Source organism: Homo sapiens, chromosome 12 (genome assembly GCF_000001405.40).
Source record: "Homo sapiens chromosome 12, GRCh38.p14 Primary Assembly".
In the NCBI taxonomy this organism is placed as follows: domain Eukaryota; kingdom Metazoa; phylum Chordata; class Mammalia; order Primates; family Hominidae; genus Homo; species Homo sapiens.
This window is the reverse complement of record NC_000012.12, coordinates 64,763,903-64,788,709: the sequence shown is the minus strand read 5'-3', so window position 1 is coordinate 64,788,709 and position 24,807 is coordinate 64,763,903. Positions and strand designations below refer to the sequence as shown.

The following is a 24,807-nucleotide window of genomic DNA, read 5'->3' as shown; positions in this document are numbered from 1 at the left end:
CTGGAATTAAAGAGACAAACTCTAAAATACATAGGAAGGATGCATTGACAAATTCATGAATTACGGTGAGCGCTTGTGGGCACATTTTTCTAAAATGACATAAATGCCAGTCCTTATATAAATCAAGTAAATTTAAATTCCAAATGATAATCAGTCCCTAGTAACTAACAATAGAATCCACCAATCTGTGACCCTGGACTAACCTGATATACCTCTCTATCTCCTGAACTTGTTCCACCCTCCCTTATACTTTCCCACACATCAAAAACCCATGCATTTACCATTCTGTGCTTTCAGCTGCTGGTACAAACAATAATAATGAGTAGGATATAAACATAGTTGAAAGGAGAAGAATCAAAACCAAGGTATCTCATAATAGAAGGGGAAAATATTTTTTAACTTGACATGTGTAAATCAATCAGAATTAATGGAAAACTATCAAATACTTATAATACATGCCACCTTTCAATAGCTACACACAAATCACACACACACACACACACACACACACACACACCCCTACACACCCTTCTTCCTTCTCTAGCTATGTCAGACAAGTGCTTGACTCTGGAGAAAAGCCTATTCAAAGTCAGTCTACTCAATCGCATTCCTGTTTGTATGAACGACAGTGATATTATTATGATAATCAAGCAGCACTCTTTCTTTTTTTTTTTCTGAGACAGAGCCTCACTCTGTTGCCCAGGCTGGAGTGCAGTGGCGCAATCTTGGCTCACTGCAACCCCCGCCTCCTGGGTTCAAGTGATTCTCCTGCCTCAGCCTCCTGAGTAGCTGGGATTACAGATGTGTCACCACACCCAGCTAATTTTTATATTTTTAGTAGAGATGGGGTTTCACCGTGTTGGCGAGGCTGATCTCGAACTCCTAACCTCAGGTGATCTGCCCACCTTGGCCTCCCAAAGTGCTGGGATTATAGGCGTGAGCCGCCATGCCCGGCCTGCAGCAATCTGTTAATATCTATTAGGTAAAACCTTCTTTAATAAACAGCATAAATAATACTTTAGGGATAACAAACAGCAATATAATAGAAGAGAAGCAAGAAAATACAGGATTTTCTTTTAATAATAAACATAAGAATGAAATTTAAGCGATTAATTTCATTACCAGAAACTAATCAAACCCCAAAAATTGTTTCATGAAAGCAAACACATCTTAATTTGCAATTTTGAAAAAAAAGCACTCTAGGAGGTGTCAATTTACGTACAAAATGTGACAGAGTGAAAGAGCAACAAAAGGCAACTTCCACAATCGCCTGAAAAGCTGTCACAGGCATTTTATCAAAAACATCATTGTACCTATATTTACCATACCTGAGCATACTGTTCTGCCATGCTGCATGTTAATAAAGAATGCAAAACAAAAATAGTTAAATGTTAGCAGAATAAAACATAAGGCTATTGCATGGAGAATTTTAAAATTAATTCACAAGGTTTTATACCTAGTATTTAATGTGTATCAGCAATTTAACAATTTATTTTTAATTGATTAACAAACCACACAGCTCCCACACAGCTCTTAGTTATGATTATGCAAGAGATAGGTTACATTTGCTAAACTATGTTGCCATCTTCAGATTTCAGAGCAAGTTGTTAAGGTCCTGTTACAAGAATCGATTTCTTTAAATCAATTATTTAATTCACTTACTGTAGCAACACAGAATAAGAGAAAAAGGACATGCCTTTTAGGTTATGTCTGTGTGATGCTGTTTTATTTATTTATTTTTATTTTTATTTATTTATTTTTTTTTTGAGATGGAGTTTCGCTCTTGTCGCCCAGGCTGGAGTGCAATGGTGCGATCTCGGTTCACTGCAACCTCTGCCTCCCAGGTTCAAGTGATTCTCCTGCCTCAACCTCCTGAGTAGCTGGGACTACAGGTGCCAGCCACCACGACCAGCTAATTTTTAGTAGAGATGGGGTTTCACCATGTTGGCCAGGCTGGTCTCAAACACCTGACCTCAGGTGATCCACCAGCCTCGGCCTCCAAAAGTGCTGGGATTATAGGTGTGAGCCACCACACCCAGCCAGTGATGCTGTTTTAAAAATAAAAATTTGTCCAGGCGCAGGGGCTCACGCCTGTAATCCCAGCACTTTGGGAGGCCAAGAAGGGTGAATCACCTGAGATCAGGAGTTTGAGATCAGCCTGACCAGCCTGACCAGCAAGGTGAAACCTCGTCTCTACTAAAAATACAAAAATTAGCCAGGCCTGGTGGCGGGCGCCTGTAGTTCCAGCTACTCAGGAGGCTTAGACAGGAGAATTGCCTGAACCTGGGAGGCGGAGGTTGTATTCAGCCAAGATTACGCCACTGCACTCCAGCCTGGGTGACGGAGTGAGACTCTGTTTCAAATAAATAAATAAATAAATAAAATAAAATTGTAATCATCATTCAGCATTAGGTAAAATTATTGTCAAAGTAAAGTACTACTTCAAATCTAGAATAATAAATCTAAGGTTGTAACATTAGACATGAAGTATACATTTTAACTGAAAAATAGGAAACTGTCTGAGTTGTTCCTTGTTCTTAGTTCTGAGGGTATAAGCTTGCATTTAAAACTTCTCAATATATTCACAAACACAGACTGTTGGCTCAGCTTTCCTAACATTCTAGTTGCATGTGGCAAAAGAAGTAACCCAATTCCAGTACTTACTTCTCTTCTGTGACACAGCCTGCAAGCAGGCAGTCACAATATCACAGTTCCTCTGCACTTTATGCAGAAGCCTATCTTTCTGCTTCAGATGCCGAAGTAACTTGGCCGACTGGATGCCAATTCTGTACTTTAGCTCTCGAAGGATCGTCTTCAGTTCATTAGCGTCTATCAGTAAAGAAAAATAAGAATAACGATTAATACCTTGAGAGGAATACAAATTCCAGTGTGATATTAGTCCAAAGATAAATAGAACATCCATTTAAACCAACTAATTCTAGGTTTTCACTCAAGATTACATGTATGCATTCAGCTCGGACATTCCGATCAAATAAGTCACTCATTTATCTGCCCTGTCCATGAGACAGATACTGTAAGGTAAATTTATCCTTAAGCCTATCTGTAACATGGAGCAAAAACTCCTACTTTTACCATATCTAGCTCTGGCTGCAAATTTACTTTTCATTGCCTGAAAACTGGCATGTATATTTTGTACCACTGAAGTGTTCAGATGGTAAGCTTGCTAGAAAAGAATCTTTTTTAGTCTGTTACATTAATAATAAACCTAACAGCTAATTAAAAAAAAAAAAAAGTCTTTAAAGGCCAGGCGTGGTGGCTCACACCTGTAATCCCAGCACTTTGGGAGGCCAAGGAGGGCAGATTACCTGAGGTCAGGAGTTGGAGACCAGCCTGACCAACATGGAGAAACCCCATCTCTACTAAAAATACAAAATTAACTGGGAGTGGTGGCACATGCCTGTAATCCCAGCTACTCCAGAAGCTGAGGCAGAATTGCTTGAACCCGAGAGGAGGAGGCTGCAGTGAGCCAAGATCGCGCCATTGCACTCCAGCCTGGGCAACAAGAGCGAAACTCCGTCTCAAAGAAAAAAAAAAAAAAAAAGTCTTTAAAGTACTCATCTATGTTTACAAATGATGAGCTAAAAGTAAATAATTTTACCACATTTTGTAATGTAGATGAATGTGGCAATACTGATTTTGTTTTGAATATCCAGTCTTCCAATAGCCTAAAAACATTTTGTCTTAGAGGTACAATATTTCATCTTAGAGCCTCAGCAATTTTTCAAATATGGTAGAAAATAAATTTCCTTTACACAGATAAATTACAATAATTCTACATTCATAAAACTAATATTCACAACAGCAGTTTTTTTTTTTTTACTTTATTTTACTTTAAGTTCCAGGATACATGTGCAGAGTATGCAGGTTTGTTACAGGTATACATGTGCCATGGTGGTTTGCTGCACCCATCAACCCATCACCTAGGTTTTAAGCCCCACATGCATTAGGTATTTGTTCTAATGCTCTCCCTCCCCTTAACAGCAGTTTTTCTATAGGTCAAAACAAATTTGGGAACCAGAATTGTCTACTGTCTTTATATAAATGATCATTACGATTTGGGAGGAGGTTTTTTTTGGTCACATTTGATATGATTAGTCACTAGAGCATGATCTAGTAGGCAGGCAAAGCCTTCCACTCAACTTAACCTTAGCTAGCCCCCCATTAGAGGTTCTCTGTGGGGTTTGGATCTACTCATTTTTAAAGGGATATGGAGAAACTAAAGAGAATCAGAAGAGAAGAAAATAAATGCTCAAAAGTAGAAATGCACTCTAGAGATCAAAGTCAACTTTTGGGGTCTGTAACAAACAAATGCAGGGTTCTCAAACCTGACCTCACCATGGAAAATGCATTTGGCCCTGAGTTAAAAAGGACTGCTTTTGGATCAGCCAACTCTCTGAGTGATTTTTAGGCAAGGAAGTGTGCTCCAAGTCTCAAATTATGCCTAGCATACAGGATTATGCTGAGAAACAAATGGGTATGGTCTTTATAAACACTAACATAAATAACGCTTTAAGTAAAAATAAGGAATTACCATGAAGAAGAGGGCAAAGGCTAGTTCTTCCTGTCCCCCTAATTTTAAACATAGTAGGATATAATGAAAAGAGAACATTTAAGTTAAATGAAAATATGATTAAATATGAGAAAAAGCCTACAAGAGGCAACCAGAGGCTCTTCATTCCTAGATGCCTTCAGATAGAACAAACATCTTTCTCTGAATATTTCAATATTTTGGGCTGGGCACGGTGGCTCACACCTGTAATCCCAGCACTTCAGGGGGCCGAGGCAGGCAGATCACCTGAGGTCAGGAGTTTGAGACCAGCCTGACCAACATGGTGAAACCAAAGAACCAAATCAACATTTTCCTTCTAGAAATAAAAGGGGTAGGAATATAATCACAAAACATTTAAATTATACTTTTCCTCCACAAAAGGGTTCTTACATTATCTCATTTCCAGTGATCCCTAAGGTGCCTACAACTCCAGTTCTCTGAATTACATTTATTGTTCAATATGGGAAAATTTTTTCAGAGTTGAGGGTGAAAATGTCTTTTACAGCAATATCTGCTGGTATAGAAGCCTCTTGGGGATGGAAACAGGTCTCTTTCATCTTTGAATGCTCCATGACATCGGCCATAGCCTCTTACACAGTGTTAAATAACTGAGGAAAAATAAGGACATTGTCAACTCACAACCTGTGCTCAGTGTCCTAAGGAATTCCAGGGTATATGATAAAAAGTTATATCTAACATCTGTTGAGCACTTCATACACTCTAACTTATGTAATTCTCACCACAGCCCTCTGAGGTAGGTATTATTATTATCCCTATTTATAAGAAAGTGAGACACAGAGATGTTAAATAGCTTGTCCAAGGTCACACAGCTGGTAAGGAACTGCGGCCGGATATCAACCCAGGAGTCTGACTCCAAAATTCATCCCCTTAACCAAGGAAATACTGAAGAGAGCCCAGATGTCCTGAGAAACCATTCTGGTGCCTCACCTAAAGGACCTACACATGTTAAATATATAGCTAAATAAGTGCTACAGCAAAATCCCTGGCAGGGAGAGGAGACAATACACAGGCTATCAGTATTGTATGACATTCTTACTGAATGCAGAGTAGTTATATTGGGGGGAATATTTTTTGAGCCTGAGAAAAAGATCAAATAACCTGATAAGCAGCATTCTTTACGCAGACAGCTGTATCATCACCTGATACTTTAATCTTAGCACGCGAATGATGTTATCAATAAAGGGGAGAGGGAGCATGTTAGTGTGTGTATGTGTGCACACGTAAGCACGCATATGTGTGTATAGGACTATTATGATATGGCATTTTGTTCATCTTAATAGGGTTGACTACAAGGGAAGAAAGGTTTAACCAGCAACTAGCTATGCAATAAGACCGAACAGGCAAAACGAACTATTACAGGGCTTGTGGATGGTTAGTTGTGTGGCCACTCATATGAAATCCACTTGCATAGTTAGCTGTACCGTTACTACTTCTTTAAACTTTAGTCTGCCAATTTTCCTCTTCAAAAAGGAAATTACTAATCCCCAGAATTCCCTCGGTGATGAAAAATGTAAAACCTTGTAAAAAGAGAAATCATAATTCTTCAAAATTGATTCTGTTGGAGTCTGAAAGAACTATTGCCCTATGGGACTTGTGGCATACACAGACACTCTGAGAACAACCAAATAATTCTATAAAATGAAATGGCACAGCTACAGCCAAAGTCCCAGGCAGGGGGAGGAACCTGGAAGCTATCTGTAACAATCAGCTGGGGAAAAAAAAAAAAAATCTTCACTAGGAAGTCAAAAGAGGAAGCTAAAAGCTGTTTACGTAGGTCTGAGAAAGCAGACAGATTTATTCTTTTCCTAGGTTTTTTTTTTTTTTAATACAGTGAGGAGATGGGAGACTCTCCTTCCTCCCTCCCCTGGTAACTCAGCCCAAGGACATTACTGTCAAGAAATGTTATGGTGGCTCGGCATCTGTTTTCCATACGTCACCTCATTTTGTAAATGGAGGTCTTGATATTTCTATACCAAAAAAGACAACTCTAATAACTGTGTTACTGCCTGAAAGGCAAGCTATTATGACCAGATGAAAAAAAAAAGTGTGACACGAGCTCAAGACACGAGCATCAGAGTCTCATAACAAAAGAAACACCAAATTAGCCTCTCTCCCTGAAAGCCAAGGCCATTTTCTCAGGTCGACCTCTCCATGCCAACTGAAGGTACCAGCAGTTAAATTCTGTAATAAACCTCAACACTCTAGGGCCCTCCACTAACCTGCCACCGAGAAGGAAAAAAAGAAAACAAAACAACAACAACAAAAATTCCTAGTGAGCTGCCTGGAACCGTACGCTCTGGCAGAAATAGAATTCACACGCTCTGCTTCGAAACCGCATTATCGAATTATTCTGCCTCACTAGTTAAACACTAAGTGGTGTGACCAGAGAAGGCGGACTTTAAAAACAAAAAAACAAAAAAAAAAAAAGGAAAGAACAGCCCTACGACTCGCCTCGATTCTGGCGGCGCCCTCTAGGTAGGTCAGGTATACGTATCAGAACCTCCAACCCTGTCCTAACAGCTGTTCAGGTGAAATTAGAATCTGGGCTGCCTCTCCCCTGGGGCCTCCGCGAACACACCGGGAGATGGGAGGAGGGAAGAGCGGGGAAACTGCCCACTCCATCAACTGACGCTTGATTCAATTACTCCGGAGAACTTAAGAACTAAGTGTGGACATAAATCTGTGCCACGGTGGGTACCACCGTCAGATCCAAAGAGACAGTATCTGAGCGCTCCGCCGAGCAGCCCAGGTGCGCGCTGGAGCGCGGGCAGAGACGGCGAGGACAACCCGGCTCCAGGAAGCCCCCGGGACCCTGCTGCGCCCGGCCCTCACCTTTCTGCCGCAGGTACAGCATCTGATGCCGCTGGCTCGGTCGCTCCTGCAGCTCCTGCAGCACGCGGGAGTCGCCGGCACCGCTGCGGCCGCCCAGGACCACGTCGGAGCCCGAGGCCTCGGTGGAGCTGTCGAGGCTGTCGCGGCGCCGCCGGCGGCCCTCGGCCCCGCGGCCCCCGCCCGCCGCCTCCTCCTCCTCTGTGCAGCTGTACAGCTCGTTGAGCAGCCCGCTCACCAGGGACGCCGTGCGGCTTGTGCGGCCGCCGCACGCCTCGCCGGGCTCCGTGTCCTCATCGCCGTCCCACGTGTCCCGGGAGCGCCGCGGCCGCTCCGCCGCTCCCCGGAGGCGCGGGGCTGGGGGAGCTGCAGGAATCGTTTCTTCCTCCTGACTCTCCAGCCTCGCCTCGCCACCGCCGCCGCGGAATTCCAGCTCCGTCCGGAGCCCCGGGCGGCCCCCGCCGGTGGGAAGGACGTCCATGGTCCCCGGCGCGCGGCTGCCCGGCTCCCGCTGCTCCTCCCGCCTCGCGGCGCCGGCCAGTTCCGGGAGGAGGCGCGGCTTCGTCCTCGCCGGTGGTGCCCTCCCGGGCGCGGCGCCAGCGGGCTCTGGATCCCCGAGGTGCCCGGGCCTCCCCCGAGCCGGCACCTGAGCCGCTCCCCTCCGCTCCGGACCGGGCGAGAAGGAGACTGCCACGCCACTGAGCTACCTGGGGCCACCTGCTGCCCGGGCCCGGCCTCTACCCAGAGCGCTCTCCCGTGCGCGAGAAGGCGCAGGACGTGGCCAGAACACCGTTGGGAAGAAGCCAGCAGCACGGAGGGGGAGGGCGCTGAGGCCGCCGCCACCTTCACTTTTAATTAAGCACGTGATTTAACTCAAAAAGAGGGTGACTCTTGCCTCTTATTCAGCCGCCAGCTAGAAATAATGCCCAGGAGGGTTCTAAACGCCCATCAATAGGCCCAGGCCAGGAGCTCCTTCTTGACATACTCGGAACACAATACCAGCCCTTCTCACTTTCCCACCTGATCTGAGCGCCTTCAAAAGCCTTCTTAGTTTAGTCTCTGACAATAAGCTTTCTAAAACTCTGAACACCTGGCAAATATCTGGGACTTAATAACGCTGTGAACTTTTTTCCTCCAGTGAAAACCAAAGCACTGGATTAAAATCAACTAATTCCCTGATACAAGATGTAACCAGAGTGAGGGTTTAATAAATGTTCTTGAGATGACCGAACTGATACATTAATTGAGCTAGTTTTGATGATGGTAGAATCAAAAATTTACAAGATACTGTGAGAGATGTATCTTACACTAGACCTCAATAGAACTCGGAACTGCCGCTCCACTGTAGATATTTTTGTGAAGTTAATAATTGGCAACATGTTTAGCGCTTTTTGTATGTCAGGCACTGTTCTTAGAGATTTGCATGAATTATCCCACTTAATCCTCACTTTAACCCTATAAAGCAGTTAAGTGTCGTTATATTCTCACTTTTCAGCTGAGGGAGCTGAGGCACGAAGAGGCTAAATAACGTGTCCATTCACAAAGAATAAAGTGAACTTTTCATAAAGTGTCTGGCTTTCATTATGGATGAATATATATTAGTCAAATGCTATTAAATACTTGACCACACTTCCAAAAGGGGCAACAACACACCTGGTGAACAACACTGGTGTTTCGTGTTTGTTCAGCACAGTTTTGTCTTCCAAGGCACTTTCATAATAGAGCCTGACCCTGCCGGTAGAAATCTGGTGTACCTTGACACCAGCACTGCAATAAAAGGGCCCTTTTTGAAACTGGAGTTAATATGAGACAAGCAGAAGTTGTACTTTTCGCTTAGGTATTCGGAATTTTAAATTATACTGGAAATATTATTTTATGGTTTTATAACTATATTAATGACTATTGTTACCATTTAATGTTTAAATGTATGAAATGAGAGTAGAATTCATTATTATATTGCTGTTTTGTTTTTTGAGGTCTTTTTCCCTGTTGTCCCTGGCATTCAACGAGTTCCAAGTCCTCCTTCGTATGCCAAACTTTGCAATGAGCAGGACTTTCAGAGGAGTAAACACTGAAATTGGACCTATTTTTTTAATTGGCTTCCCAGCCCTTTTTATCTCTTCCCCCTAAGAAGAGATGTGATTAACTGTTAGTCTTCAGCACTATTCTCATTTAGGGAATCTCCATCAGGAATTACAGGTAAAGAAACTCAAAGTGAGCTGAAGGGAAAAAAGAGACCAAGAAAACAATAGGTTATTGACATTCAACATTTCTAAGTTAATAAGAACTTCAAAATTATTTCCCATTCCCCATCATTACCAAATCTAAAGAGAGGAAAATGGCAAACTAAAAACTAACAAGGAAAGCACGCTTAAGATCATTGTACTTATGGAATGATCTTCCCCTAGATATTGGCATGACTCTGCTCTCACCAAGTCTCGTCTCTGCTTAAATGTCTTCTCTGTGAGCCGGGCGCGATGGCTCACACCTGTAATCCCAGCACTTTGGGAGGCCGAGGTGGACGGATCATGAAGTCAAGAGATCGAGACCATCCTGGCCAACATGGTGAAACCTCGTCACTACTAAAAATACAAAAATTAGCTGGGTGTGGTGGCCCATGCCTGAGAATCACATGAACCCAGGAGGCGGAGGTTGCAGTGAGCCGAGATCACGCCACTGCATTCCAGCCTGGGTGACTGAGTGAGACTCCATCTTAAAAAAAAAAAAAAAAAAAAAAAAAGGCTTCTCTGTGAATCACTCCATAACCACCCTATTTGACATTGCAGCTCCCCATCCCCCAGGTTTTCCTTAGTTCTCTTCCTTGTTCTTTTTTTTCCCATAATACCCTCTTCCCACATACTACAGTATATAATCTACTGATTTATTTTGTTATCTGTCTTTTGCCACTAAAATGTAAGCTTCCGAGCGCAGGAATTTTGTCTATTTTGTTCATTGATATATGCCCATCACTTAGAACAATCCCTGGCACATTGTAACTGCTCAATAAATATTTGTTTAATTAACTAATTGAATGAATACCATGAAAACCAGAGAAAAAAACAACCAATTACCTACTTTCCTAAGAAAAGTTAACTTTAGTAAATATAATCCTAGAAGCGGTATTGGCAAAGGACAGCCGCTTTTCTCACCCTACACTACTGCCACCAGGAAACTGGCAGGCCCCACACAAGTTCCCTGAAGCTCTGGATATAAGAAAGAACCACTGATGGCTGGGTGCAGTGGCTCACGCCTGTAATACCAGCACTTCAGGAGGCCAAGGCAGGTGGATCTCTTGAGAGCAGGAGTTTGAGAACAGCCTGGCCAACATGGCGAAACCCCATCTCTACTAAAAAAATACAAAAATTAGCCAGATGTGATGGCACACACCTGTAATCCCAGCAACTTGAAAGGATGAGGCATGAGAATCACTTGAACCTGGTAGGCAGAGGTTGCAGGGAGCTGAGATTGCACCACTGCACTCCGGCCTGGGCAACAGAGCAAGACTCCTTTTTGGTTCCATATGAATTTTAAAATAGTTTTTTCTAGTTCTGTGGAGAATGTCAATGGTAGTTTAATGGGAAAAGCATTGAATCTATAAATTGCTTTGGGCAGCATGGCCAATTTAATGATATTGATTCTTCCTATCCATGAGCATGGAATGTTTTTCCATTTGTTTGTGTCATCTCTGATTTCTTTGAGCAGTGGTTTGTAGTTTTCCTTGTAGAGATCTTTTACCTCCCTAGTTAGCTGTATTACTGGGTATTGTATTTTTTTGTGGCAATTGTGAATGGGAGTTCATTCCTGATTTGGCCCTTGGCATGACTGTTGTTGGTGTTTAGGAATGCTAGTTATTTTTGCACATTGATTTTGTATCCTGAGACTTTGCTGAAGTTGTTTATCAGCTTAAGAAGCTTTTGGGCTGAGATGATGGAGTTTTCTAGATATAGGACCATATCATCTGCAAACATGGATTGTTTGACTTCCTCTCTTCCTATTTGAATGCCCTTTATTTCTTTCTCTTGCCTGATTGCCCTGGCCAGAACTTCCAATACTATGTTGAATAGGAGCAGTGGGAGAGGGCATCCTTGTATTGTGCCTGTTTTCAAGGGGAATGCTTCCAGCTTTTGCCCTTTCAGTAGGATATTAGCTGCGGGTTTGTCATATATGGTTCTTACTTTTTTGAGGTATGTTACTTCAATACCTAGTTTATTGAGAGTTTTTAACATGAATGGATGTTGAATTTTATCGAAAGCTTTTTCTGCATCTGTTGAGATAATCGTGTGGTTTTGCCTTTAGTTCTGTTTATGTGATGAATCACATTTATCGATTTGTGTATGTTCAATTAACCTTGCATCCCAGGGATGAAGCCCACTTGGTCCTGGTGAATGAGTTTTTTGATGTGCTGCTGGATTCAGTTTGCCAGTATTTTGTTGAGGATTTTTGCATCAATGTTCACCAAGGATCTTGGCCTGAAGTTTTTTTGTAGTTGTTGTATCTCTGCCAGGTTTTGTTTCAGGATGATGCTGGCCTCATAGAATGAGTTAGGGAGGAGTCCCTTCTTTTCAACTTTTTGAAATAGTTTCAGTGGGAATGATATCAGCTCTTTTTTGTACATCTGCTAGAATTCAGCTGTGAATCCATCTGGTCCTGGGCTTTTTTTGGTTGTTAGGCTATTTATTACTGCCTCAATTTCAGAACTCATTATTGGTCTGTTCAGGGACTGAATTTCTTCCTGGCTCAGTCTTAAAAGGGTGTATGTGTCCAGAAATTTATCCATTTCTTTTAGATTTTCTAGTTTATGTGCATAGATGTATTCATACTATTCTATGATGGTTGCTTGTATTTCTGTGTGTTCAGTGGTAATATTCCCCTTACCATTTTTCACTGTGTTTATTTGAATCTTCTCTGTTTTCTTCGTTAGTCTACCTAGTGGTCTATCTATCTTATTAATTTTTTCAAAAAAAACTAGCTCCTGGATTCATCTTTTGAATGATTTTTCATGACTATCTCCTTTGTTCACCTCTGATTTTGGTTATTTATTGACTTCTGCTAGCTTTGGGATTTGTTTGCTCTTGCTTCTCTATTTGTTTTAGTTGTGATATTAGGTTGTTAACTTGAGATCTGATGAGGGTGTTTAGTGCTATAAATTTCCCTCTTAACACTGCCTTAGCTGTGTCCCAGAGATTCTGGTATGTCATATCTTTGTTCTCATTAGTTTCGAAGAGCTTCTTGAGTTCTGCCTTAATTTCATTTATTTACTCAAAAGTCATTCAGGAGCAGGTTATTCAATTTCCATGTAATTGTACAGTTTTGAATGAATTTCCTAATCTTGAGTTCTAATTTGATTGCACTGTTGTCTGAGATATTGTTATGATTTCAGGTCTTTTGCATTTGCTGAGAGGTGTTTTACTTCTGATTATGTCACTGATTTTACAGTAAGTGCCACGTGGCAATGAGAAGAATGTATATTCTGTTGTTTTCATGTGGAGAGTTCTGTAGATATCTATCAGGTCCATTTGATCCAGTGCTGAGTTCAGGTCCTGAATATCTTTGTTAATTTTCTTTCTTGATGATCTGTCTAATATTGTCAGCAGGTGGTTAAAGTCTCTCACTATTATTGTGTGGGACTCTAAGTCTCTTTGAAGGTCTCTAAGAACATGCTTTATGAATCTGGGTATTCCTATGTTGGGTGCATATACATTTAGAATAGTTAGGTCTTCTTGTTGAATTGAACCCTTTACCATTATATAATGCCCCCTTTGTCTTTTTTTATCTTTGTTGGTTTAAAGTTTGTTTTGTTAGAAACTAGGATTGCAACCCCTGCTTTTTTCTGTTTTCTATTTGCTTTGTAAATTTTCCTCCATCCCTTTATTTTGAGCCTATGTGTGTCATTGCACATGAGATGGGTCTCTTGAAGACAGCATACCACTAGGTCATGGTTCTTTATCCAACTTGCCATTCTGTGTCTTTTAATTGGGCATTTAGCCCATTTACATTTAAGGTTATTATTGATATGTATACATTTGATCCTGTCATCATGATGTTGTTAACTGGTTATTTTGCAGGCTGGTTTATGTAGTTGTTTTATAGTGTCACTGCTTTGTGTACTACAGTGTGTTTTTGCAGTGGCTAGTAACAGTCTTTTCCTTCCATATATATCTATATCTATATCTATATATATATATTTTTTTTTTTTTGAGACACAGTCTCACTCTGTCACCCAGGCTGGAATGCAGTGGTGCAATCTCGGCTCACTGCAACCTCTGCCTCCTGGGTTCAACCAATTCTCATGCCTCAGCCTCCCAGGTAGTTGGGATTACAGGTGTGCAACATGACACCCAGCTAATTTTTGTATTTTTAGTAGAGACGGGGATTCACCATGTTGCCCAGACTGGTCTCAAACTCCTGGCCTCAAGTAATGTGCCCACCTTGGCCTCCCAAAGTGCTGGGATTACAGACATGAGCCACCATGCCCGGCCTTCTTTCCATATTTAGTGCTTCCTTCAGGAGCTCTTGTAAGGCAGGTCTGGTAGTAATGAATTCCCTCAGCATTTGCTTGTCTGAAAAGGATCTTATTTCTCCTTCGTTTATGAAGCTTAGTTTGGCCAGATATGAAATTCTGGGTTGAAAATTATTTTCTTTAAGAATTCTGAGTGTTGGCCCCCAATCTCTTCTGGCTTATAGGTTTTCCTCTGAGAGGTCTGTTGTTAGTCTGCTGGGCTTCCCTTTGTAAGTGACCTGGCTTTTCTCTCTAGGTCCCCTTAACATTTTTTCTTTCATTTTGACCTTAGGGAATGTGTTAATTATGTGTCTTGGGGATGACCTTCTCATGGAGTATCTTACTGGGGTTCTCTGCATTTCCTGAATTTGAATGTTGGCCTGTCTAGCTAGGTTGGGGAAGTTCTCAGGGATGATATCCTGAAATGTGTTTTCCAAATTGGTTCCATTTGCCCCATCTCTTTCAGGTACACCAATCAGTCAAAGATTCAGTCTCTTTACATAATCTCATATTTCTCAGACGTTTTGTTCATTCCTTTTCATTCTTTCTTCTCTATTCTTGGCTGCCTATCTTATTTCAGAAAGACATTCTTCAAGCTCTGAGATTCTTTTCTCTGCTTGATTATGCTATTAATACTTGTGATTGCATTATGAAATTCTTACAGTGTGCTTTTCAGCTCTGTCAGGTTGGTTACATTCTTCTCCACTCTGGCTATTTTGTCTGTCAGCTCCTATGATGTTTTATCATGATTTTTAGCTTCCTTCCATTGGGTTACAATATCCTCCTTTAATTCAGTGAAGTTTGTTCCTATCCATATTCTGAATTCTACTTCTGTCATTTCAGCCATCACAGCCTTGGCCTGGTTCCAAACCCTTGCTGGAGAGGTGATGCAGTCATTTGGAGGAAAGAGGGCATTTTGCCTTTTTGAGTTTTCAGCATTCTTGTGCTGATTCTTTCTCATCTTTATGGGATTATCTATTTTCAATCTTTGAGGTTGCTGACCTTTGGATGGTTTTTGTTTTTGTTTTAACAGCTTGATCACTTTTCTGTAGGGCTGCTGTGGTTTGCTGGCAGCCTGGTCCCAGTCACCTTGGGTTTTCCAGTACCTGGAAGTATCACCAGTGAAGGCTGTAAAACAGCAAAGAGGGCAGCCCACCCCTTCCTCTGAGAGCTCCATCCCAGGGAAGTGCACACCTGTTGCTGGCTCAAACACACCTGTAGAAGGTGGCTGAAGACCCCAGTTGGGAGATCTCACCCAGTCAAAAGGAAGGGGATCAGGGACCCACTTAAAGAAGCAGTCTGGCCATGCTTTTGTAGAGCAGCCATGCTGTGCTGGGATATACTTCCTCTCCCAGTTGGCTTGGGCTCTTCAACACCTAGAGGCTGGAATGGCTAGGTCACCCAAATAGCAAAGATGGTAGCTCACCCTGCCCTTTAGGAACTTTGTCCTAGGAAGTTTTCAAATCTCTGTTGGCCAGAGAACACTGGCAGGGGTGGCTGGAGGCCCCAGTTGAGAGGTCCTGCCCAGTGAGGAGGAACAGATCAGCGACTCACTTAAAGAAGCAGTCTGGCCATGTTTTGGTAGAACAGCTGTGCTGTGCTGGGGGATCCCTTCCACCCTCAGTTGGTTTGGACTCTCCAAAGCCCACAGGGTAGAATGGCTGAGTTTTGCAAACAGCAAAGATGCAGCCCCAATTTTAGTACTTTTTAAAGCCATCAAACCTTAGACAGAATTTAGGAAATGCATATTAATACACAGTAGACAGTGAGTAAACTATTAATGCAGAATGATATTCAAGTCATGATGCTTACAGGAATTGTGGGTATCTAGTTTACTACTTAATTATTATTACACAAGATTCCAAGTGACAGAGTATAACCTTTCCTTTGCAATAGTAGAAAGAAAGTTTATGGCTGCTCAATACATATCAGCTAAAAATTAAGCCTCTGTCTCTCATCTGTATTAAAGTGATTTTCTTTTTTTAGAGACAGAGTCTTGCTATATTGCCCAGGCTGATCTCAAACTCCTGGCACAGTGACATTGTTTTAAAAGAACTGATGTAGGCCAGGCGCAGTGGCTCACGCCTGTAATCCCAGCACTTTAGGAGGCCGAGGCAGGTGGATCATGAAGTCAGGAGTTCAAGACCACCCTGGCCAACATGGTGAAACCCCATCTCTACTAAAAATACAAAAATGAGCTAGGCACGGAGGCAGGCGCCTGTAATCCCAGCTACTTGGGAAGCTGAGGCAGAAGAATTGCTTGAACCGGGGAGGCGGAGGTTGCAGTAAGCCGAGATTGCGCCACTGCACTCCAGCCTGGGCGACAGAGTGAGACTCTGTCTCAAAAAAAATAAATAAAGGAAGTGATGTGCCTATTGTACCAGCACTTGAATGGCCACCAACAAAGTCTGGTTAATATCAATTGACTAAGCCATTTTGTCTAATTGGTTGTCTAGTGCCTCTTCCAACATGAATGCTTTCTGCTGGGCATAAGCATGTGATACAAAGATCTTCATACTTTGTGCCTATTCCTTTTTTTTTTTTTTTTTTTTTGAGACAGAGTTTCACTCTTGTTGCCCAGGCTGGAATGCAATGGCACGATCTCGGCTCACCACAACCTCCTCCTCCTGGGTTCAAGCGATTCTCCTGCCTCAGCCTCGGGCATGTGCCACCACGCCCAGCTAATTTTTGTATTTTCAGTAGAGACAGGGTTTCTCCATGTTGGTCAGGCTGGTCTAGAACTCTCGACCTCAGGTGATCCGCCTGCCTCAGCCTCCCAAAGTGCTGGGATTACAGGCATGAGCCACTGCGCCTGGCCATTTTGTGCCTATTCCTGTATGTTCATCCACGTGCCACAACCCCAGACCTCCCTTTCTCCAATCTTCTGATCTTCTTCCTTCCAGGCTCATGACCAGTCAGCCAATGCCATTCACCACTGCCAGTGAGTCCATATATATTCTAATCTCAGACCACTTTTCCTTCCACACAAACTGAATGGTCAGGTGTACCACCCAAAGCTCTTCCTGTTACTATGTTGTTGTTTTTTTAAACTACTATGATTCAAGGCCAATGCTGAGTGATTGCAGCTATCATCCATTTCTACCTTGCACCTATAAACCATGCTGTTTTGTCTATAAACCAAGTTGGGGCTTTTTCCTCCTCCTTCAGCTGGTCATACAGGCCCTTGGACGTGAGCTGAGAGAGAAGCAGTGGTGTAACTATGACTAGTGATATGGGAGTCTGGGCTACCTATTCATGCACTTGTTTGTTGCCCTCTGGTCCTGCTTGTGCTTGTTCCCAAATGCAGTGTTTTAGCTTACAAAGGATTAATGCTGGTCCTGACCAACTTAATGACTTGGTAGATCCAGGAGAACCTAACTCATGATGAATAGTTCAGAAAGCATGGTCATTTGGTGCCTCGTGGATAAGAGTTCCATCTCGATCTGGGCTCAGTACACTAGAAGCTGTTTTTCAAATGGTGTGTAATTCCTGCTATAGATGTCATGACCTTGCCCCAAAACCCTATGGGCCTGCCTTGTGATCCTCCTATTGGGGTTTGCACCACATTGCATCTTACACACGGAATACCTTAGGCTCTGCTGGAGTATATGGCCCAAGCAGAAGGGCTACTTGAACCACAGCTAGGACCTGCTACCAGGATGGGCTTCATGGATATGTTGTACAGAACCCCACTCTCAGAAGGTCTTTACTCCTGGTTTAATGCTGTATTATCACCATCTTGAAATGGTGAACAATTTTGTTTTTAAATTTGGTGTTTTGGCCGGGCGTGGTGGCTCACGGCTATAATCCCAGCACTGGGATCTGCTGAGGTGGGCAGATCATGAGGTCAGGAGATTGAGACCATCTTGGCCAACATGATGAAACCCCATCTCCACTAAAATACAAAAAAAAAAAAAAAATTAGCTGGGTGTGGTGGCATTCGCCTGTAGTCCCAGCTACGTGGGAGGCTGAGGAAGGGGAGTCGCTTGAGCCCGGGAGGCGGAGGTTGCAGTGAGCTGAGATCGCACCACTGCACTCCAGCCTGGCGACAGAGCAAGACTCCGTCTCAAAAAAAAAAAAAAGAAGAAAAAGGAATTGGTGTTTTATAAGTGCAGTCATATGGGACAATGGCCACGTGCATGAGAAGTGGAATTATGCCAAGCTAGGAAGTCCAGCAGGCAGCACCAGGCACCATGCAGTTGTCACACGTGCACACCTAAGGGCAGTCATGGGCACTTAAGGGCCCCAAAGTAGCTAGGTGGGGACCAGTGCCAGTTGACAGCAGCAATAGCTGAGAAGCAGCAGCAGTGGTGACAGCAATAGGAGAGTAAAGGGATTCTGCATAAAGCCAGCCCTGGGACCTGCTGTGGAAGCCTAGCTTGCCTGGCTACTTCCCAAATCCCATCTTTGTGGCATTTGCACAAATCTTAATTTTCAGGCTTGAGAGATGGGACAGAAATTGCCAGTTCAGGCAGTACACACTGTCAGTAAATTGTTACCAAAAAAAAAAACAAAGCATACTCAGACATTGTAATAAACCATATCAGGGAACTATTACAATTCTTCAGAGTGTAGAGTCTCTACTTTTGAAAACTTCTGCAACATGGCAAATCAAATATCCACAGCTTTAGAAATATAAAGATGTTCACATTTGACAAAAAAGAACGCTATTTTCATAGGAAGTTTCAGATGAGCCTAGTATTAATTAAAATTACTTTTTCCTTATAATTAGAGATACGGTGATAGAATGTATAAATAAGCACTTTGAATCGTATAAAAGTTTGAAGCCATGGAGTTTTTCAAATGACCTTCAAAAGTTACTGGAAATGTCAAAGAAAATGTTACAATTTCATTGTTATGCCAGTTACAATTTTACAATTGCAAAATTACAATTTATACTTTACATTAAAAATTAAATTCAACTTAAAACTGATTTGTAGGGAGAGTTAAATATTTTTCAAAAAATTTTTCAGCCGAGCCCAGTGGCTCACACCTGTAATCCCAGCACTTTGGGAGGCCAAGGCAGGTGGGTCACAAGGTCAGGAGTTTGAGACCAGCCTGGCCAACATGGTGAAACCCTGTCTTTACTAAAAATACAAAAATTAGGCCAGGTGCGGTGGCTCACACCTGTAATCCCAGCATTTTGGGAGGCCAAGGCGGGCAGATCACGAGGTCAGGAATTCAAGACCAGCCTGTCCAAGATGGTGAAACCCCGTCTCTACTAAAAATACAAAAAAAAAAAAAAAAATAGCCCAGCGTGGTGGCATGTGCCTGTAATCCCAGCTACTTGGGAGGCAGAGGCAGAGAATTGCTTGAATCCGGGAGGTGGAGGTTGCAGTGAGCCGAGATCATGCCACTGCACTCCACCCTGGGCAACAGAGCAAGACTCCGTCTCAAAAAAAAAAAAAATTACAAAAATTAGCCGAGCGTGGTGGTGCACGCCTGTAATCCCAGCTACTCAGGAGGCTGAGGCAGGAGAATCACTTGAACCTGGGAGATGTAGGTTGCAGTGAGCCAAGATGGCACCATTACACTCTAGCCTGGGCAACAGAGTGAGACTCTGACTCAAAAAAAAAAAAATCTACAGGAATCATCAGTTCTACATGTACTAAAATTTCTTTCTAATTTTTTTTTAGACAGGGTCCAGCTTTGTCACCCAGGCTGGAGTGCAGTGGTACAACTACTGCTCACTGAAGCCTCAACCTCCTGGGCACAAGCGATCCTCTCATCTCAGCCTCCTAAGTAGCTGGAACTACAGGTGCACACAACCACACACAACTAATTTTTGTATTTTATTGTAGCGATGGGGTTTTGCCACGTTGCACAGACTGGTCTCGAACTCCTGAGCTCAGGCAATCCGCCTGCCTCAGCCTACCCAAGTGCTGGGATTACAGTCATGAGCCACCACACTTGGCCCATGTGCTAAAATTTCTATTTTGAAATAATTTGTCAAATTTATTCCTTTGTTATACAGCCTATAAAATAGTCTTAACAGCAACAGTTACATCAGAAGAAAGATCCTTCTCAAAATTAATGTTATCAAAAAATATTTGCAATCTTGCATTTGCCAAGAGTCACTGACATTGCTTTCAACTACATCAATTGAAAATGAATTTGCTGAAAACGTATGATGGCCTAGGAAATGAATTTGCACGCCAGGCAGGGTGGCTCACACCTATAATCCCAACACTTTGTGGAGGCAAAAGTGGGAGAATCACTTGAGGCCAGGTGTTTGATATTAGCCTGGGCAAGGTAGGGAGAGCTCATCTCTACAAAAATATGTAAAAATTAGCTGGGTGCGATAACATGCACCAGTAGTCCCAGCTACTCAGGAGGCTGAGGCAGGAGGATTGCTTGAGCCCAGGAGGTTGAAGCTGTGGTCAGCTGTGATTACACCACTGCACTCCAGCCTGGGTGATGGAGTGAGACCCTGTTTAAAAGAAAAAACAATTGAATTTGCAGAAAAGCAAGTCGGAAGAAACTTGTAATCAAGATATCACATAATAAAGTCTCATTATTTATATTATATAAATTTAAGATTATGTTGTTACTCATGTATTATTATAACCCCTATTATATTTTGTAAGTAATAAGATATTTTTAAAGAAAAAGTTTTATATTTTAGTAACTTAAATGGCACATTTTTTCTGCTTTTTGAACAAAGGAACCCACATTTTTGTTTCACACTGGACCCCACAGATTATGTAGTCAGCCCTGCCTGTTACAGAGCACTTTTATGCTCCAGTCCCCATCAAAGCTGGCAGCCTTTCATATATGGGCTGGTCAGTGTTCCTAAGCATACAATGTATTGCACCCAGAATCCAAAGAGTTCTACCAAGCACTGTGCTTCTTTCTCACTAGTAAGAAATGCAAAATGCAGCAGTTTTTTTTTTACTTTGGAGGCAATGTCATGACACACGCCAGGACCTCTAAAAATCTTTACTGAAGTACCAAGTTTCTAAATTTTCATAGAGCCTATCTCCCCCCCCTCCCCCCCCCCCCGCCGGAGCATGTGTATCTTATCAAGGTGTCCAGATGCTAGTCACCTCTTTTTCATCCTGCCTGATCAGCATGATGTCATCAATGTATTGGATGGGTAAGATGTTCTGCAGGATACCTGGGCAGTCTGGATTTGTCAGGGCTGTATTATAACACATAGTCACATAGTTACATATTGTGACACAGAGATGAGTTAACATAACCTTGGGGCAAAACTGTAGATGTCTTTTGTTGTTCATTCTGTATGAATGTGAAGTGTTTCTGAGCCTCTTTTCTGATAGGGACAGAAGAGAATGCATTCACCAAATCGGTGGCTGCTTAAAATTTACCTGTAGTCATATTGATTTTGTCTAGCAAAGGTATCAAATCCAGCATGGCCACAGCGTCAGGACTAATACTTGGTTGAGCTTGTGGTAGGCTATGATCATTTCCCATGATCCTTTCTGCAGGGGCCAGACTGGCTACTTAAATGGAGATATGGGATATCTCTGATAGGGACCACCAAGATTTGACAATTTTGTTAATCTTTCCAAAGAATCAGCTTTTGCTTTCATTGATTTTTCTCTATTTTTTTCTATCCTCGTTTCATTAATTTCTGCTCTAATTTTTATTATTTCCTTCCTTCTGCTTGCTTTAGGTTTATTTTGCTTTCTTTGGTGTCTTAAGGTAGAAGGTTAAATTAATGATATGAGATCATTCTTTTTTTAAATATAGGCATTTACAGCCACAAATTACTCTTCAAGCTCTATGTTAGTTGTATCCCAAGTTTTAGTATGCTGTGTATTCATATTCATTCATCTCAAAGTATTTTCTAATTTCCCTTTTGATTTCTGTTTTAATCCACTGATTATTTAGGAGTATGTTGTTTCATTTCCAAATATTTGTGAGCTACCCAAATTTCTCTGGGAATCTTATGTTCTAATTTTATTTCACTGTGGTGAGAGAACATACTTGTATTATTTCTACCCTTTTAGATTTATCGAGGTTTGTTTTATGGCCTAGTACATGGTCTATCCTGGAGAATATTCCACAGGCACTTGAGAAGAGTATAGATTCTGCTCTTGTTGGGTGGAGAGTTCTGTAGATCTCTGTTAGGTCTACCTATTTTATAATGTTATTCAAGTCTTCTATGTCCTTGTTCATCTTCTGCCTAGCTACTCTATCCATTATTGAAAGTGGAGTATTGAAGTTTCCAACTATTATCGAGTTGTCCATTTTTTCCTTTATTTCTATCAGTTTTTACTTCAAGAATTTTGGTACTTTGTTAGGTCCATATATATTTATAATTGTTATATCTTCCTGATGGATTGAACCTTTTATCATTATAAAATGCCCTGTTTTTATCTCTAATAATATTTTTGTCATAAAGTCTACTTTTCTTTATTACTAGTTTCCAGAATTTTGATTGTGATGTTTCTCAGTATGATTTTCTTTATGTTTTTTCTGCATGGGGTTCACTGAATTTCTTGAATCTGAGATCAGAGTTTTCTCTATATGCAGACAGCAACTATTATTTCTTCGAAAAATTATTTCTTCCTTCTGGAATTCCAGTTATGTAAATAGTAGACCCCATGATTTTGTTTCACAGGTCACAAGGGCCCTGCTCATTTTTATTTTCGTTTTTTTCTCTCTTTGCTTTATTTTGGGTATTTTTCTCTTGCTATACCTTCAAGTTGACTTATCTCCCCCCCATATTGTTTAATCATCTCTTAATCCATGTAGTGAATTTTCAGATATAGTGCTATTCAGTTATAGATTCTATTTGTATTTATTTATTTTTGAGACAGGGTATCCCTCTGTCACCCAGGCTGGAATGCAGTGGCACAATCATGGCTCACTGCAGCCTGGACCTCCCCGGCTCAAGTGATCCTCCCATCTCAGCCTCCTGAGTAGCTGGGACTACAGGAGCATACCACCAAGCCCAGCTAATTTTGTGTATTGTATTTTTTTTTTTTTTTTGTAGAGGTGGGGTTTTGTCAAGTCGCCCAGGCTGGTCTCAAACTCCTGGGCTCAAGCCATCTGCCCACCTAGGCCTCCCAAAGTGCTGGGATTACAAGTGTGTGCCACTGTGCCTGGCCCAGTTATATATCTTCCACCTCTCTTCTCAGTTGGCTCATGTTTTCCTTTAAATACTTGAACAAGTTATAATAGGAGTTTTAACACATTAATCTATTAACTTCTTCATCCCTGTCATTTATTATCTGTTTCTATTGACAATTTTTTCTTCTGGTCATGGGGTCACATTTTCCTGTTTGGGAGCCTATATAGTAATTTTTTTTTTTTTTTTTTTTTTTTTTTTTTGGAGACAGTCTTGCTCTGTCGCCCAGGCTACTGGAGTGTAGTGGCGCAATCTCGGCTCACTTCAACCTCCACCTCCCGGGTTCACGCCATTCTCCTGCCTAATCCTCCTGAGTAGCTGGGACTACAGGCACCCGCCACCATGCCCAGCTAATTTTTTGTATTTTTTAGTAGAGATGGGGTTTCACTGTGTTAGCCAGGATGGTCTTGATCTCCTGACCTCATGATCCGCCTCGGCCTCCCAAAGTGCTGGGATTACAGGCGTGAGCCACGATGCCCGGCCCTGTGTAGTAATTTTCTTATTCAACGCAGGACATTGTGAATTTCATATTGTTGAATATCTAGGTTTCGTAGTCTTCCCTGAAAGAGTGTTGAGCCTTATTCTGGAAAGCAAGTTACTTTCCTTGCAGATTAGTTTGATCTTTTGAGGGCTGTACCCAAGCTTTGTTTCTGTGGGTGCACAGTACTTTTTACTCATGATAGTTTAGCTCCACTATTAGGGCACGACCTTTCCAGGTTCCTAAGGAGTGCTCCTGATGATCAAGGAGGACTTTCCCCTATGGCTGGCTGGATCTCAAACATCCCAACCCCTCTGAGAATTATTTGTTTTACATTACCTTGGTCATTCTTTGCCTTGCCTTCTGGTGGTGTTTCACCCTGTGAATGCACATCTCAGTGTTCAGCAAAGTTTCAGAAAGACATCTGTACAAACTTATGGAGCTTTTAAATCTATACAGCACCCTTCTCTTTGGAATTCTTCCCTGCAAACTTCCAGCTGCCTCAATCTCCCTCAACTTTGATCTCTGTCCACCCAAAGTTAGCAAGTCAACTTTGTCAAGCATGAGATCCTATTTCCTGCTCTCTGGTTCAGAATGTCCCTCCACCAGGCAAAAAGTTGGAGCAATTGTTTGTTTCTCTTTACATGTGGATCACAGTCCTTCACTATTGTCACTTGTATAAAGGCATCTATATTGCCCTGTTTTCTAGTTGTTTTTAGCAAGAGAATTAGTCTGGCACTGTTACTCCATCGTGGCCAGAGATGGAAGTTTTGAGGTTATTAAACGTTAAGTGAAAGTTACACTTCAGAGGTCATGATGAAAAGTACTATTGTTCCTATAATGAAAATTCCACAGGAATTTTTCAACTAATAGCTGAATTGGATGCATTTTTGCTTAAGCTCTTGGAAAAACATGTCAAAATGAAAACACAACTTATTTTACTAAAACAATTTATGGAAAAAATTGAAATAATGAAAAAAATGTTTAAAAAGTGGTAAGTCAAACACATAACCAAACACCAAATACTATTATGTATTCTATTCTGGATATGACAACCACTGATGAGTTGGCAATTATTGGGCACTACTTTCTAACAGGAAAACCTATGAGCAATTTTTAAATATTTTTAGCCAACTGAAAACATCTGAGACATTATTCAACAAAGTAAAACAAGATTGTTATTTTAACCTGTGGTTAAACAGCATTTATAATCAGTCATCTGTTAACACAGCTATTATAATGATTAGGAAAAAGGGCTGCATGCTCTTTAAAAAACAGCTTGGCTAGGCTGGGCATGGTGGCTCACGCCTGTA

At 41.8% G+C, this 24,807-nt stretch overlaps 1 protein-coding gene across 8 annotated transcripts in view, besides 2 other annotated features; it reads right to left on the bottom strand.

The window, feature by feature from the left end:
• TBC1D30 (TBC1 domain family member 30) overlaps positions 1-24,807 on the bottom strand; it is a 121,550-nt gene that overhangs the window by 92,324 nt on the left and 4,419 nt on the right. For 3 of the 8 annotated variants that reach the window (XM_047428595.1, XM_047428596.1, XM_024448903.2), the window contains exons 2-3: positions 7,424-9,639; positions 2,665-2,829 (exon numbers count right to left, since the gene is read on the bottom strand). In XM_047428595.1, the coding sequence (XP_047284551.1) occupies positions 2,665-2,829; positions 7,424-7,901 (643 nt within the window). In that variant the 5' untranslated portion in view covers positions 7,902-9,639. Of the gene's footprint in view, positions 1-1,328; positions 1,351-2,664; positions 2,830-7,423; positions 9,640-24,807 lie in introns of those variants that run through there. The other 5 variants (XM_024448904.2, XM_047428599.1, XM_047428600.1 and 2 more) reach the window with 3 other exon arrangements.
• Positions 7,680-7,779: a silencer, noted in NCBI's record as "silent region_4627". NCBI's record gives its function as "represses an Ori minimal core promoter by ATAC-STARR-seq in GM12878 lymphoblastoid cells {active_cell/tissue: GM12878}" and the evidence as "EXISTENCE:reporter gene assay evidence [ECO:0000049][PMID:35858748]".
• Positions 7,860-8,139: a silencer, noted in NCBI's record as "silent region_4626". NCBI's record gives its function as "represses an Ori minimal core promoter by ATAC-STARR-seq in GM12878 lymphoblastoid cells {active_cell/tissue: GM12878}" and the evidence as "EXISTENCE:reporter gene assay evidence [ECO:0000049][PMID:35858748]".